General features: G+C 41.6%; 1 long non-coding RNA gene and 1 pseudogene across 10 annotated transcripts in view, besides 1 other annotated feature; one reads left to right on the top strand and one right to left on the bottom strand.

Annotated features, from left to right (window-relative positions):
- The window catches only part of LOC102724078 (uncharacterized), a 187,103-nt gene that overhangs the window by 127,431 nt on the left and 41,497 nt on the right, over positions 1-18,175 (bottom strand). The gene's annotated exons all lie outside the window — the stretch shown is intronic.
- Positions 757-862, top strand: RNU6-18P (RNA, U6 small nuclear 18, pseudogene; annotated as a pseudogene).
- Positions 9,375-9,874: an enhancer, noted in NCBI's record as "H3K4me1 hESC enhancer chr15:32584971-32585470 (GRCh37/hg19 assembly coordinates)". NCBI's record gives its function as "activates a minimal SCP1, AML or CMV promoter by ChIP-STARR-seq in naive H9 embryonic stem cells {active_cell/tissue: H9 hESC(naive)}" and the evidence as "EXISTENCE:reporter gene assay evidence [ECO:0000049][PMID:30033119]".

The raw sequence follows: 18,175 nt of genomic DNA on the forward strand, positions 1-18,175 counted from the left end.
GCTTCATCCCCTAAGTCCCTGGCAGGTGTTGCAGCTGTTCCTTTCCTCAGGCTGCAGGTGAACAAGTGGGTGGCCACGCTTTGTTAAGTGGCATGGCCATCGAGAGTCATCCGGCTCTGTTGAGGCATCATTGTCCTTTCTGCTGGAAAAGTTGAGTCTTCCTGAACCTTGAAGACAAACCACAAGCTCATCGGTTGTTGTTTGTATGCATGTGTGACAGAAGAAAAAAAATTTCTCGAGAGAGGTGTTCAGTGCTCCCCTCATCCTCTTGCCCAGAAGGTGCCCCTGTTAGCACAGAACGCCCAGTATCTGTGAGTGGAGCAGGGGCAGGTGCTATGCGCCTGGGGACAGGCCACTTCATCTTTATGTGCCTCGATCTCCCCACCCACAATGAGATCTGGATCACACTTCTGAGTGACTGCTACCAGGTAGCCACTGGCCCATGTTTCAGTGGAAAGGAGAACAGGAGCCCAAAGATGACAAAAGACACAGCCCCACTGTCCAGAAGCTCACAGCTAGGAAATGAGATGCCCTTTCCTTAGTTCCTAATCAAAATTCCCATTTCAGGCCAATAACCATGAGCTGCTCTGTTGGGGTGATGCTGCAGTTAGCAAGACGTGCATCCCACCCTCTGGAAATTCATGGCACCAAAAGTTGTCACAGAGTGAGTTGGGGGCAAAATGACACTAAATGGTGCATCTTTAACCTTATGTCACAGATGTTAGCAAACTCAGTCCAAGAAAAAAAAGGCAATTAGTGCTCGCTTCGGCAGCACATATACTAAAATTGGAACGATACAGAGAAGATTAGCATGGCCCCTGAGCAAGGATGACACGCAAATTCGTGAAGCGTTCCATATTTTTTATTCACAATAGCAAAGACTTGGAACCAACCCAAATGTCCAACAATGATAGACTGGATTAAGAAAATGTGGCACATATACACCATGGAATACTATGCAGCCATAAAAAATGATAAGTTCTTGTCCCTTGTAGGGACATGGATGAAACTGGAAATCATCATTCTCAGTAAACTATCGCAAGGACAAAAAAACAAACACCACATGTTCTCACTCATAGATGGGAATTGAACAATGAGAACACATGGACACAGGAAGGGGAACATCACACTCTGGGGACTGTTGTGGGGTCGGGGGAGGGGGGAGGGATAGCATTAGGAGATATACCTAATGCTAAATGACGAGTTAATGGGTGCAGCACACCAGCATGGCACATGTATACATATGTAACTAACCTGCACATTGTGCACATGTACCCTAAAACTTAAAGTATAATAATAATTTTTTAAAAAGGCAATTAATACTGTTTTTACACATTATTTTGAAAGGCATTTTGATGATGCAAATAACCCACGTTACATACAGAATAATTATGAAATATAGGTAAAAGGAAAATGAAAATTACAAAATTACGGATACCTGGAAATATGTGCTTCTGACTGTGGGTCTGTCTCTCCATCTTCACTTGCTCAAAAGTAAAAATAATGACATCTTTGCTGCTCTGCAACCTGCTTAGTACTTAAATGAATTTTCCATATTTATATAAATGATGAAATCCCAGCACTGCTGTTTTAATGAATGCAGGATGATTCAGTTCAGATGTACCATGATTTGATTATCCTAAAGAAATTACAATAACCATCTTTACATCTATATATCTGTACACATCCTTATTTATTTAGAAGGAATTCTTAGAAACTGAATTGCTGAATAAAGGCACGTTTTATACGTACTGCAAAATGGCTAAGTTTTTTGGGTAATCTACTTCATGGATAATAAACTGCAATATGGTATACTAAACCTGACTTCTTCCCAGCATGTCACAGATCCGCCTCCACAAGTTACCATTCTGACTTCAAATGACTTGCTTGAACAAACTCACGTGCCTGATGTTGACTCACCTATGTTATTGCACCATGAAAGATGTGGAGCGCATCATGTTTTCACACGAATTAGCATGGAAAGGTGGTAACTTTATAGTTTTACCACCTCAAGCTTTTAATACCTTTCTTGCTGCAATGTATTGCCAACCAATGTGAACCATAATAGCACCGAGAGAAAACAGGATGCAGGAGGGAAGGAAGAAAAGTAATATTCCTTAAAATGTGCAGCACCATGTTCTCTAAATTTTGAAATACTGAACAAAAAGCATTAACAGGTTTGTAAACCTTTAACACAAATTGAGTTCTATTTCCTCTGCTGGCCCCTGGGAAGGGTATGTGGCCCAGTGGTGGGGACCTGAGAGTTGGCTGGAAAGTCAGGGCTCTGGGTCTTTTTCCATACTTTAAAGCTCAGTGAGCAAATTTGAGATCAATTAAGTTCCCCATCTGGAACCGGATGAAAAAGCTTGCCAGATCCACCTCACGTGATACCACAATTTCCTATGAAGATTACTATTAAATTAAGGAACTATGATGAAGACCAACTGGCGTAACTGCTTGGGTTTAGTTATCTTCCAGAAATGATTCATGCTATACGTATTTAATTAGTTTTTTTCAGTTATTTGAAAGGCTCCTTTCAGGAGGATGTTGGAACACAATTACATGTGACATTTGGCTGAGAGCAGTGACTCCTAGGTCGTGACCTGTCCACCTGCGTGTGCCCGTAGCAGCATTGAGCAGGTCTTCCCAGAAAAGCCAAGACAGTGGGAAAATGATCACCTGGTATAGCTAAGTGTGAGTACAGGCTACAACATTGTTGAGCTACACATAGCCACAGACACCAAATGCATTAGGTCGTTCTAAAACCATAAAGGATTCCAATGTTTCATAGCTACATTTGTGGACTAGAAATGATGGAGCTACCTAAATTCCACAGATATTCTGATTAGAGTCTCCTACTAGATGTAATTTTTTCCTCAAGCTATCAATAGCAAAATTAACAAGTGAGCAAGCTCCTCTCCATCTCCCTGTGGAACAGCCAACAATTAGGAGAAAGAAAAGTCTTATAGCTGGTGAGAGACTAGGATGTGAAGGCTGGAGGAGCTGGGATTGGTGCTGCAAAGGAGATAGCACGGACAGGAGTGGCTAGTGCTGACCTTGTCCCAGGCACTGCAGCCAAAAGAAGTTTGCTTGTGACCAAACTTCTCAGTCATTAGGATTCATCTCCATTGTACAGATAATGAAATAAAGACTCAGAGATGAATCACTTTCAGATGCATCCACAGTCAGTCAATAGATGTTTGAAGTAGTTTTCTGTGTTTCTCTTGTGCCAAATACTAAACTGTTTCTTCTAGAGAAGAGAGATCTTAAAATCATGAAGTCCAACAATGGCCAAGGTGTAGCTAGGCAGAGCTGGGGCTGTTCAAATATGAACATCATTAGGAATGATGACAGGAATAATCATTATTATTATAACAATAATAAACATTTGCTGAGTACCAACTATGGGCCAGACACGAGTTTGGGCACTTTAGATTCTGTTTTCCTTAAGATGGGGGAGGCTGGCCGGGCGTGCTGGCTCACTTCTGTAATCCCAGCACTTTGGGAGGCCGAGGCAGGTGGATTGCCTGAGGTCAGGAGTTCGAGACCAGTCTGGCCAACATGGTGAAACCCCATCTCTAATAAAAACACTAAAAAATTAGCCAGGTGTGGCAGTGTGCTCCTGTAATCCCAGCTACTCTGGAGTCTAAAGCGGGAGAATCACTTGAACCCGGGAGGCGGAGCTTGCAGTGAGCCAAGATCACGCCACTGCACTCTAGCCTGGGTGACAGAGTGAGACTCTGTCACAAAAAAAAAAAGATGGGGGAGGCCATATTGCAATAATAAAATATCATCAATATTTTCTGGGACCTAAACCGACAAAGTCCCAGAAGATTTTATGGTACTATGTGTCAGTTTTGGACTGGCCAGGCTGTGCTGTATGTCATTTTGCACTACCTGGCAGATAAAGAGAAATATCAAATCACACGCTGTCTCCTGAAGCTCCAGCCAGAAGTGAACAAACAGATACCACAAGCCAAAGCACAATCCCAAGGCCAGGCCTGATTTGAAGGGGAGCAGGCTGTGCCTAAGGATCAGAAATATTAGGTGCCAGCAGCAACGACCCCCATACATGTGTTCTGTCATTTACCTCCCCAAAAGACTTTTACAGAAGAGAAAATGCGGCATGGAGAGCTTCAGGGACCTGTGTAAATGCCACACAGCTAAGTAGAGACAAGCTTGGCCTTGACTCCAGGCAGCTGGACTCCACAGTCTGTGCTCTGTTTGTAAATTTTTACTTATTTATTTATTTATTTATTGAGAAGGAGTCTCGCTCTGTCGCCCAGGCTGGAGTGCAATAGTGCGATCTCGGCTCACCCCACCTCCGCCTCCCAGGTTCAAGTGATTCTCCTGCCTCAGCCTCCCAAGTAGCTGGGATTATAGTTGTGCACCACCACGCCCGGCTAATTTTGTATTTTTAGTAGAGACGGGGTTTCTCCATGTTGGTCAGGCTGGTCTCAAACTCGCAACCTCAGGTGATTCGCCCATCTCGGCCTCCTGAAGTGCTGGGATTACAGGCGTGAGCCACTGCACCCAGCCATAATTTTTTTTTTTAATTGACGGACACGAACTGTATATATTTATGGTATATGACATAATGTTTTTTCTTTTTTTGTCCTCATCGCCTGTCCTAAGAAGAACATAGTGTTTTGATATACAGTATGCGTACACTATGGAATGGCTAAACTGAACTAAGTAACATATGCATTGCCTCACCTACTTGCCAGTTATTTGTGGTAAGAACACTTAAAACTACTCTCTTAGAAGTGCTCAAGAATACAAGACACTGTGTTTAGCTGTGGTCACCATGCTGTGCAACAGATTTCTTGAAGTTTCTCCTCCTAACTGAAATTGTGTATCCCTGGCCAACCTCTTCTCAGTCCTTCCCCTGCCCCAGCCTCTGGTAAGCACCATCCCACTCTCTGCCTCTGTGAGTTTGACATTTTTAGCCTCTGTATATAAGTGAGATCATAAAGTAGCTGTCTTTTGGCACCCAGCTTATTTCGCTTAGCATAATGTCCTCCAGGTTCATCTATGGTGTTGCAAATGACAGGATTTCCTTGTTTCTTAAGGCTGAATAGTACTCAACCGTGTATTTATAACACATTTTCTTCACCTGTCGATGGACACGGAGGTTGATTCCATATTCTGGCTGTTGTGGATAGTGCTATGATGAACATGGGTACAGGTAGAGTAGCCTGCACTCTTTACCATCATTCATTTCTCTCTCTCTAGCTACTGTCGACAGCACCAACTACGTACCAGGCATGGAATGCAATATTATTTATATCCTTTACTCCTCCCAGTCCTGCAGATTTTATTCATCACATTTTACCCGTGAGGACCATGAATCTTTCCATGAGGACAATGAAGATGTAGAACTTATTCTAGTATCCTAAGCAGTAGTCAAAGTTTGAACCTTAGCTTGCCTGACCCCAAAGCCCATGCTCTTCAGCATTACATTATGAAATTCTTGGGAGACCTAGCACAACTCTGAATTCGAGAAATATTAACTCAGCACCTACTCTGCACAAGATACATGAAACTCAACCCTCTCTCTTGTTGGCTTGTAGTCAGTCATTAGTGATATTTGAGAGCAGTAGGTCATCTGGAGAGACTGGATGCAAAGCAATCACAGTCCATGAGCTGTCTCCATGAAGATTAGAAAAGAGGCACTTCTTTCTCAAGACATGTTACTTCTATCTCTTGGGATGCTGTCATATTACACTGTTTTGTTAGAATAAGATCTCCTACTACCATCTTCTAGAGAACTGTTGTAAAGCACATGTGAGTCTGTGGAAGTTGTGATGTGCATGGGGCCTGCAAGGATGTGCACCAACACAACCTAAATGGGTGGCCTGGCTATGCTCACCAAAGGGCTTCTTGCTCTCCTTCCACATTTTTACCAGGCTGGATTCCATTTGCATTTTGTATTCTAGGACACACAGAAGCAGCTTTGTTGTCATGATGCAATGGCAGTGATCAGAAATGATCACCCCTTCCATGAGAAAAATCATGAGAATCTAAAAATATGCAGACTTCCTACCTTACTCTAATGCTGAAAGAGAGTGATTTGAAGTCACCACTTTTTTTTTAAATAGGTTTTCACTTTGCCTCCCAGGCTGGAGTGCAGTGGTGCGATCTCAGCTCACTTCATCCTCGACCTCCCGGGCTCAAGCGATCCTACCACCTCTGCCTCCCAAGTAGCTGGGACTATAGTTAAGACTATTTTTTCCAGCCAGGTGCAGTGGCTCACTCCTGTAATCCCAGCACTTTGGGAGGCCAAGGCAGGCGGATGACCTGAGGTCAGGAGTTCAAGACCAGCCTGAACAACATGGTGAAACCCCGTCTCTATCAAAAAAAAAAAATTAACCTGGTGTGCTGGTGGGTGCCTGTAATCTCAGCTACTCGAAAGGCTGAGGCAGGAGAATTCCTTGAACCCGGGAGGCAAAAGTTTCAGTGAGCCAAGATCGTGCCGTTGCACTCCAGCCTGGGCGACAGAGCAAAACTCCATCTCAGGAAAAAAAAAAAAAAAAAAAAAAAAAGCTATTTTTTCCCCTCTTTTTAGAGGTGGGATTTCACTCTGTCACCCAGGCTGGAGTGCAGTGCCATGATCATAGCTCAGTTCAGCCTCAAACTTCTGGGCTCAAGCAATCCTCCAGCCTGAGCTTCCTCAGTGGCTAGGACTATAGGCACACAGCACAATGCCTGGTGAATTTTCTATTATATTTTTTGTAGAGACAGGTCTTGCTATGTTTCCCAGGCCAGTCTCAAACTCCTGGCCACAAGAGATCCTCCTGCTTTGGCCTCCCAAAGCACTGGGATAATAGACATGAGCCACCATGCCTGGCCCTGCAAATGACTTATAGTCTGCAGATCTGAGTGTTCATTTCAGCTTTGCCACGTTCTTCCCAGTGACCCTTCACAAGTCACTCTACTTCTGAGCATTCAGTTGCTTCTCTTTGAAAAGGAATTGTGTCCCCAGCCTGTGTGCCTCACATCGGGGCCACGGTTCTGCTTTGTAAGGGCTTTGAAGCACTAGGGGAATTGGGATGCACCACATGCCTGCTAGTTCTGCATCACCAGGCTCTCTTCGGAGTGCTCCTTACCTTCATCACACACATGTGAGTTCCCGTTACCAAGCCAGGGTCTGTGTCAGATGTTGAGATACAAGAATGAAGAAAACTTTACCTGCATAGTTAACTAGTGTCTATTCACCAGAATGAGTCGTTTGAGAGTAGAGAGTCTACATTAAGCTTTTCTCTGCCACCCCACCCTTGTACCTAGGACAGCTCCAAGGTCTCCAGATGTGCCTAATGAGCTGTTTTTCAGTTAGGAAATATTAAGAATAAATCTCTGCATATGACCCAGTGTCTCTGTGGTGTTAGATTTTTCTGTGGTACCAGATGACCAAACTGAAGTTAACCTTAACTAGTTTCCTCGTTTCAGAAAATAAGGACTTATTATCTTAACCCAACCCCTTATCTAGTTTTTAAACAATGAATTTGGGAGCATTTAGAGGATAGTGTATTGATTAATACAAACTGATAACAATAATACTAATGCGTACACTTTGTTGAATGATTCCTACGTATCAGCTTTACAGCTCCAGGTTTACCAGGAGTAAGTCCGTTCTAATGGGGAAAAAAACCTGTTATTGCCCTTTAGAACAGAGTGTGGTATGTATCTCTACTTCAGCCGAGTACTTGACACTGTGTCTGTATCTTGATAGATTAGTGAATTTCCTGGGTAAAGAGAATTTGCCTGGGTTTAGCGATCAACCCAAGTGATTTCCTGGGTTTAGAGATCCTAAACTAGATCTCTAAAGAGTATTACTACCAGGTCTGTGTCAAATTGAAAGGTGATTCTGAATGTTGGGTCATCAGCATATATTGTTTAGTATGTTTATCAGAAGCTCAAGTGGAAACAGATTTGCAGCTCTGCTGTAGAAGACAGCTTCAAGACTTGTAAAATGACATTGACAGATAAGAATGAGGAGCTACAGAAAAATGAAATAAAATTTATTAGGAAAAAGTGTGATAGCCTGTATTCCAGAAAGTCGCTTGCAAGGTACAAAAGATTCCTGGCTTGGTGATGACTCATGTGAGGAAGGAATGAGATTTAGGCAAATAAAACCTCACATAAGGAATCCTGTGACAAGGCTGCCAAAACAGTGAGAACAATTGAAATCTACCACCCAATTAAAAGGTGGCAATAGTTCTACTTTCTCTGTGAATACTACTATAAGTAGAATTATTATTCCATTCTGAATTCATTTTTACATTCTAAATACATTTATATCTATTGAAAATTTTCCCATCAGATAATGATATATTATCAATGGATTTGAAAAATTAGAAATATCTTAATATTTCAAAATAAATATTTAACTCCAGAGAATAGGATAGCTTTTCTCATGTTCATCATTGTTGAAAATGCTTGTAGCAGTTACTTATATACATACTTTTAAAATAATTTTTATTAGTTCTGTTAATTGACAATTTATAATCTGGGAAAGATTATAAATTCCTTTTATAAAGAGAAAAATGAAATTGAGATGTGACCCTGTCATAGTAATGCATTCAGGAATCTCATATAAGCATTGCTAGATGAGTCATTTTGCTGGGAGCAGGGCAGCTCATTTTAAGGATGATATTGACAAAGAGGGTATAATACAGATGGCAGAAAACATGAAAATCATCTTGTGTGTAGAAACCTGGAATATTTATCCCAGGAGTCATAAATAATAAAGGTTTTCCACTATGTGATATCACAGCCTGTGAATAAGTAATCCCTGTGTTCTTAATATCACCAAATGTCAGAGCTACGAGTCCCAAACAGGATGATTAAAACAAGTTATAAGAAATAAAGATAGAGAGAGGAGCCAAGATGGCCGAATAGGAACAGCTCCGGTCTACAGCTCCCAGCATGAGCAACGCAGAAGACAGGTGATTTCTGCATTTCCATCTGAGGTACCGGGTTCATCTCACTAGGGAGTGCCAGACAGTGGGCGCAGGTCAGTGGGTGCGTGCACCGTGCGCCAGCCGAAGCAGGGCGAGGCACTGCCTCACTCGGGAAGCGCAAGGGGTCAGGGAGTTCCCTTTCCTAGTCAAAGAAAGGGGTGACGGACAGCACCTGGAAAATCAGGCCACTCCCACCCGAATACTGCGCTTTTCCTACGGGCTTAAAAAACGGCGCACCAGGAGATTATATCCTGCACCTGGCTCGGAGGGTCCTAGGACCACCACGGAGTCTCGCTGATTGCTAGCACAGCAGTCTGAGATCAAACTGCAAGGCGGCAGCGAGGCTGGGGGAGGGGCGCCCGCCATTGCCCAGGCTTGATTAGGTAAACAAAGCAGCTGGGAAGCTCGAACTGGGTGGAGCCCACCACAGCTCAAGGAGGCCTGCCTGCCTGCCTCTGTAGGCTACACCTCTGGGGGCAGGGCACAGACAAACAAAAAGACAGCAGTAACCTCTGCAGACTTAAATGTCCCTGTCTGACAGCTTTGAAGAGAGCAGTCGTTCTCCCAGCACGCAGCTGGAGATCTAAGAACGGGCAGACTGCCTCCTCAAGTGCGTCCCTGACCCCTGACCCCCGAGCAGCCTAACTGGGAGGCACCCCCCAGCAGGGGCACACTGACACCTCACACTGCAGGGTACTCCAACAGACCTGCAGCTGAGGGTCCTGTTTGTTAGAAGGAAAACTAACAAACAGAAAGGACATCCACACCAAAAACCCATCTGTACATCGCCATTGTCAAAGACCAAAAGTAGATAAAACCACAAAGATGGGGAAAAAACAGAACAGAAAAACTGGAAACTCTAAAAAGCAGAGCGCCTCTCCTCCTCCAAAGGAACGCAGTTCCTCACCAGCAATGGAACAAAGCTGGACGGAGAATGACTTTGACGAGCTGAGAGAAGAAGGCTTCAGACGATCAAATTACTCTGAGCTACAGGAGGACATTCAAACCAAAGGCAAAGAAGTTGAAAACTTTGAAAAAAATTTAGAAGAATGTATAACTAGAATAACCAATACAGAGAAGTGCTTAAAGGAGCTGATGGAGCTGAAAACCAAGGCTCGAGAACTACGTGAAGAATGCAGAAGCCTCAGGAGCCAACGCGATCAACTGGAAGAAAGGGTATCAGCAATGGAAGATGAAATGAATGAAATGAAGTGAGAAGGGAAGTTTAGAGAAAAAAGAATAAAAAGAAATGAACAAAGCCTCCAAGAAATATGGGACTATGTGAAAAGACCAAATCTACATCTGATTGGTGTACCTGAAAGTGATGGGGAGAATGGAACCAAGTTGGAAAACACTCTGCAGGATATTATCCAGGAGAACTTCCCCAATCTAGCAAGGCAGGCCAACGTTCAGATTCAGGAAATACAGAGAACGCCACAAAGATATTCCTCGAGAAGAGCAACTCCAAGACACATAATTCTCAGATTCACCAAAGTTGAAATGAAGGAAAAAATGTTAAGGGCAGCCAGAGAGAAAGGTCGGGTTACCCTCAAAGGGAAGCCCATCAGACTAACAGCGGATCTCTCGGCAGAAACCCTACAAGCCAGAAGAGAGTGGGGGCCAATATTCAACATTCTTAAAGAAAAGAATTTTCAACCCAGAATTTCATATCCAGCCAAACTAAGCTTCATAAGTGAAGGAGAAATAAAATACTTTACAGACAAGCAAATGCTGAGAGATTTTGTCACCACCAGGCCTGCCCTAAAAGAGCTCCTGAAGGAAGCGCTAAATATGGAAAGGAACAACCGGTACCAGCCGCTGCAAAATCATGCCAAAATGTAAAGACCATCGAGACTAGGAAGAAACTGCATCAACTAACGAGCAAAATAACCAGCTAACATCATAATGACAGGATCAAATTCACACATAACAATATTAACTTTAAATGTAAATGGACTAAATGCTCCAATTAAAAGATGCAGACTGGCAAATTGGATAAAGAGTCAAGATCCATCAGTGTGCTGTATTCAGCAAACCCATCTCACGTGCAGAGACACACATAGGCTCAAAATAAAAGGATGGAGGAAAATCTACCAAGCAAATGGAAAACAAAAAAAGGCAGGGGTTGCAATCCTAGTCTCTGATAAAACAGACTTTAAACCAACAAAGATCAAAAGAGACAAAGAAGGCCATTACATAATGGTAAAGGGATCAATTCAACAAGAAGAGCTAACTATCCTAAATATATATGCACCCAACACAGGAGCACCCAGATTCATAAAGCAAGTCCTGAGTGACCTACAAAGAGACTTAGACTCCCACACATTAATAATGGGAGACTTTAACACCCCACTGTCAACATTAGACAGATCAACGAGACAGAAAGTCAACAAGGATACCCAGGAATTCAACTCAGCTCTGCACCAAGCAGACCTAATAGACATCTACAGAACTCTCCACCCCAAATCAACAGAATATACATTTTTTTCAGCACCACACCACACCTATTCCAAAATTGACCACATACTTGGAAGTAAAGCTCTCCTCAGCAAATGTAAAAGAACAGAAATTATAACAAACTGTCTCTCAGACCACAGTGCAATCAAACTAGAACTCATGATTAAGAATCTCACTCAAAACCGCTCAACTACATGGAAACTGAACAACCTGCTCCTGAATGACTACTGGGTACATAACGAAATGAAGGCAGAAATAAAGATGTTCTTTGAAACCAACGAGAACAAAGACACAACATACCAGAATCTCTGCGACGCATTCAAAGCAGTGTGTACAGGGAAATTTATAGCACTAAATGCCCACAAGAGAAAGCAGGAAAGATCCAAAATTGACACCCTAACATCGCAATTAAAAGAACTAGAAAAGCAAGAGCAAACACATTCAAAAGCTAGCAGAAGGCAAGAAATAACTAAAATCAGAGCAGAACTGAAGGAAATAGAGACACAAAAAACCCTTCAAAGAATTAATGAATCCAGGAGCTAGTTTTTTGAAAAGATCAACAAAATTGATAGACCGCTAGCAAGACTAATAAAGAAAAAAAGAGAGAAGAATCAAATAGATGCAATAAAAAATGATAAAGGGGATCTCACCACCGATCCCACAGAAATACAAACTACCATCAGAGAATACTACAAACACCTCTACGCAAATAAACTAGAAAATCTAGAAGAAATGGATACATTCCTCGACACATACACTCTCCCAAGACTAAACCAGGAAGAAGTTGAATCTCTGAATAGACAATAACAGGAGCTGAAATTGTGGCAATAATCAATAGCTTACCAACCAAAAAGAGTCCAGGACCAGACGGATTCACAGGCGAATTCTACCAGAGGTACAAGGAGGAACTGGTACCATTCCTTCTGAAACTATTCCAATCAATAGAAAAAGAGGGAATCCTCCCTAACTCATTTTATGAGGCCAGCATCATTCTGATACCAAAGCCAGGCAGAGACACAACCAAAAAAGAGAATTTTAGACCAATATCCTTGATGAACATTGATGCAAAAATCCTCTATAAAATACTGGCAGACCGAATCCAGCAGCACATCAAAAAGCTTATCCACCATGATCAAGTGGGCTTCATCCCTGGGATGCAAGGCTGGTTCAATATACGCAAATCAATAAATGTAATCCAGCATATAAACAGAGCCAAAGACAAAAACCACATGATTATCTCAATAGATGCAGAAAAGGCCTTTGACAAAATTCAACAACCCTTCATGCTAAAAACTCTCAATAAATTAGGTATTGATGGGACGTATATTTCAAAATAATAAGAGCTATCTATGACAAACCCACAGCCAATATCATACTGAATGGGCAAAAACTGGAAGCATTCCCTTTGAAAACTGGCACAAGACAGGGATGCCCTCTCTCACCACTCCTATTCAACATAGTGTTGGAAGTTCTGGCCAGGGCAATTAGGCAGGAGAAAGAAAGAAAGGGTATTCAATTAGGAAAAGAGGAAGTCAAATTGTCCCTGTTTGCAGATGACATGATTGTATATCTAGAAAACCCCACTGTCTCAGCCCAAAATCTCCTTAAGCTGATAAGCAACTTCAGCAAAGTCTCAGGATACAAAATCAATGTACAAAAATCACAAGCATTCTTATACAGCAACAACAGACAAACAGAGAGCCAAATCATGAGTGAACTCCCATTCACAATTGCTTCAAAGAGAATAAAATACCTAGGAATCCACCTTACAAGGGATGTGAAGGACCTCTTCAAGGAGAACTACAAACCACTGCTCAAGGAAATAAAAGAGGATACAAACAAATGGAAGAACATTCCATGCTTATGGGTAGGAAGAATCAATATCGTGAAAATGGCCATACTACCCAAGGTAATTTACAGATTCAATGCCATCCCCATCAGGCTATCAATGACTTTCTTCACAGAATTGGAAAAAACTACTTTAAAGTTCATATGGAACCAAAAAAGAGCCTGCATCACCAAGTCAATCCTAAGCCAAAAGAACAAAGCTGGAGGCGTCACGCTACCTGACTTCAAACTATACTACAAGGCTACAGTAACCAAAACAGCATGGTACTGGTACCAAAACAGAGATATAGATCAATGGAACAGAACACAGCCCTCAGAAATAACGCCGCATATCTAAAACTATCTGATCTTTGACAAACCTGAGAAAAACAAGCAATGGGGAAAGGATTCCCTATTTAATGAATGGTGCTGGGAAAATTGGCTAGCCATATGTAGAAAGCTGAAACTGGATCCCTTCCTTACACCTTATACAAAAATCAATTCAAGATGGATTAAAGACTTAAATGTTAGACCTAAAACCATAAAAGCCCTAGAAGAAAACCTAGGCATTACCATTCAGGACATAGGCATGGGCAAGGACTTCATGTCTAAAACACCAAAAGCAATGGCAACAAAAGCCAAAATTGACAAATGGGATCTAATTAAACTAAAGAGCTTCTGCACAGCAAAACAAACTACCATTAGAGTGAACAGGCAACCTACAAAATGAGAGAAAATTTTCGCAAGCTACTCATCTGACAAAGGGCTAATATCCAGAATCTACAATGAACTCAAACAAATTTACAAGAAAAAAACAAACAACCCCATCAAAAAGTGGGCAAAGGACATGAACAGACAGTTCTCAAAAGAAGACATTTATGCAGCCAAAAAACACATGAAAAAATGCTCATCATCACTGGCCATCAGAGAAATGCAAATCAAAACCACAATGAGATACCATCTCACACCAGTTAAAATGGCAATCATTAAAAAGTCAGGAAACAACAGGTGCTGGAGAGGATGTGGAGAAATAGGAACACTTTTACACTGTTGGTGGGACTGTAAACCAGTTCAACCATTGTGGAAGTCAGTGTGGCGATTCCTCAGGGATCTAGAACTAGAAATACCATTTGACCCAGCTATCCCATTACTGGGTATATACCCAAAGGACTATAAATCATGCTGCTATAAAGACACATGCACACGTATGTTTATTGCGGCATTATTCACAATAGCAAAGACTTGGAACCAAGCCAAATGTCCAACAATGATAGACTGGATTAAGAAAATGTGGCACATATACACCATGGAATACTATGCAGCCATAAAAAATGATGAGTTCATGTCCTTTGCAGGGACATGGATGAAACTGGAAATCATCATTCTCAGTAAACTATCGCAAGAACAAAAAACCAAACACCGCATATTCTCACTTATAGGTGGGAATTGAACAATGAGATCACATGGACACAGGAAGGGGAACATCACACTCTGGGGACTGTTGTGGGGTGGGAGGAGGGGGGAGGGATAGCATTGGGAGATATACCTAATGCTAGATGACAAGTTAGTGTGTGCAGCGCACCAGCATGGCACATGTATACATATGTAAATAACCTGCACAATGTGCACATGTACCCTAAAACTTAAAGTATAATAATAAAAGAAAAAAAAAAAGAAATAAAGATAAACAGGCCAGGCGCAGTGGCTGATGCCTGTAATCCCGGCACTTTGGGAGGCCAAGGCAGGAGGATCACAAGGTCAGGAGATCAAGACCATCCTGGCTAACACGGTGAAACCCCGTCTCTGCTAAAACTACAAAAAATTAACCAGTCGTGGTGGCGGGCGCCTGTAGTCCCAGCTACTCGGGATGCTGAGGCAGGAGAATGGCGTGAACCCAGGAGGCAGAGCTTGCAGTGAGCCGAGATTGCGCCACTGCACTCCAGCCTGGGGGACAGAGCTAGACTCCATCTCAAAAAAAAAAAAAAAAAAGAAAAGAAAAGAAAGAAAGAAACAACAAAGATGTTTTCAGAATGAGATAAGCTGCCTCTTAGAATAGTCTTCTTTACTAGGTTCATTCTGGAGAAAATCTTTAAATTTTAGGGTAATCTATGGGGTGATTCATGAGGTCCTTTCTGACTACAGGGTTGTGTGCCCCGTGGTGATGATTTCTGGAGCCAAATTATCGTCTGAATACTAATCCACATGTCTGAGCTCACCTCTGCCATGACAGCCACTCCCTTTGCCACAATTCCAAAATGTTTTTGTTTGCAAACTCAATCTGGTGAAGTATTGAAATGTTTGAACAAATTCTGTGTTTCTCGATATGAGGCAACTTGTGGAATGTGTAAGTGACTTGAGGTTTCCAGAAATATTTAGGTTCCATTTCTCTCTATGTGTACAGATGCTTCCCTATTCTGGTAACAGTGGATTAATTTTGTGGGAAATAGCTAGGTTGTGGCTGAACAAAAAGCAAAGTGTTTCTAATCATCAGTGTGTTTTTTTCTTCCCATGAGAAAATATACTTACTATAAACTTAGGAGGAAGTCAAGCCACCTCACTTCCTTTCTGTTTTTTTTTTTTTTTTCAGGTTTAAAATACTCCATTTTTGCTATTCACTTTTACTTGAGCAAAAATAGTTAAAGAAAGACCCTGGAGATACCTAAAAAAGGTACACTATTTAGGTTCAGTTCCATGAAAGCAAGGCCTAGAAAGCAATAGTGTCTTTGTGATCACACAGAATTTGGGAACAAGGCTGAGAGAATTTTCCTTTAAGTGATATTTCATAGGACTTATAAAACATAAATAAATAGTTATAGAATAATAACTACAGAAAACACTCTATGATACCAGCTGACAAGCTGCATGAGAAACCTTATCTATCTCCTGCATAAATCCCTATTACAAACAGACCCATGGCCAGGAGGAAATCAATATAATTAAACCTCACAGTGGGGAGAACTTCCTCTGCCAAACTTCAAGATCAAAGAAGGCTTTGCGGAAGAGATGGCATTGGATCTGGTTCTGAAAGATAGGAAGAATTTGAAGTATAAAGTGGACTATTATTCAGCCATAAAAAGAAAATCCTGCCATTTGCAACAACACAGATGAACCTGGAGGACATGTTACATAAAATAAGCATAGAAAGACACAGACAGACAAATACTGCATGATCTCACTTATGTGTGGAATCTAAAAGTGTCAAACTGGGCAGGGCATGGTGGCTCACACCTGTAATCCCAGCACTTTGGGAGGCCGAGGCAGGTGGATCACCTGAGGTCAGGAGTTCAAGAGGAGCCTGACCAACATGGTGAAACCCCATCCCTACTAAAATTACAAAATTAGCTGGGTGTGGTGGCACATGCCATGCCTGTAATCCCAGCTACTCGGGAGGTTGAGGCAGGAGAATCACTTGAACCCGGGAGGCAGAGGTTACAGTGAGCTCAGACTGTGCCATTGCACTCTAGCCTGGGCGACAAGAGCAAAAATCTGTCTCAAAAATAAATAAATAAATAAAAGTGTCAAACTCATAGAAGCAGAGAGTTAAATGGTGATGCCAGGGGTGGGGGAGAGGGGAAACTGGGTGAGAGACTGGACAAAGAATACAAGCTTTCAGTTACAAGACGAATCAGTTCTGGGGTTCTCATATACAGCATGGGTGGTGATGGATGTGTTAATTAATTTGATTTTGGTAATCACTACACAATGCATACATATGTCAAATCATCATGTTGCACACCAAAAATATTCAATCTTTGTCAATTAAATATTTTAAAATTTAAAAAATACATTTTTAAAATAAAATATAATAATGAACTGTCATCATGGTTAAGTAACCTACCCAGATTCAAACGAGACATAAAACTAGATATTCTCAAGTATGCAGAAAGAGCCACTAACACTATGCAAGTCAATAAATGCAATACACCACATAAACAGGATTAAAAACAAAAATTACATGATTATCTCGATAGACGCAGAAAAAGCATTTGACATTAAGCATCCCTTAATGATTAAAGCCCTCAGCAAAATCAGCATAGAAGGGACACAAGGTAACAAAAGCCATCTACAACAAACCCACAGCCAACATAATACTGAAGGGGGATGAGCTGAAAGCATTCCTCCTGAGAACTGGAACAAGACAAGGATGCCCACTTTCACCACTTCCATTCACCACAGTACTGAAAGTCCTAGCCAAAGTAATCAGACAAGAGAAGGAAATAAAGGGCATCCAAATGGCTAAAGAGGAAGTCAAACTGTTGTTGTTTGCTGATGATATGATTATATACCTAGAAAACCCCAAAGACTTCTCCAAAAAGCTCCTAGAACTGATAAATGAATTGAGCAAAGTTTTAGGATACAAATTTATTGTACACAAATCGGTAGCTCTACTATACACCAACAGCAACCAACCTGAGAATCAAATCAAGAACTCATCCCCTTTTACAATAGCTGAAAACAAAACAAAAAAAAAAACTTAGGAATATACCTAACCAAGGAGGTAAAAGACCTCTACAAGAAAAGCTACAAAACACTGCTGAAAGAAATCACAGATGACACAAACAAATGAAAACACATCCCACGCTCGTGGATGGGTAGAATCAATGTTGTGAAAATGACCGTATTGCCAAAAGCAATCTACAAATTCAATGCAATTCCCATCAAAACATACCATCGTTCTTCACAGAACTAGAAAAAACAATCCTAAAATTCATATGGAACCAAAAAAGAGCCCACGTAGCCAAAGAAAGACTAAGCAAAAAGAACAAATCTGGAGGTATCAACTGATATACCCTAAGGCCATAGTCACCAAAACAGCATGGTACTGGTATAAAAACAGGCATATAGACCAATGGAACAGAATAGAGAACCCAGAAATAAAGCCAAATACTTACAGCCAACTGATCTTCAACAAAGCAAACAAAAACATA

The sequence above is a fragment of the Homo sapiens genome, chromosome 15 (genome assembly GCF_000001405.40).
Source record: "Homo sapiens chromosome 15, GRCh38.p14 Primary Assembly".
Lineage (NCBI taxonomy): Eukaryota > Metazoa > Chordata > Mammalia > Primates > Hominidae > Homo > Homo sapiens.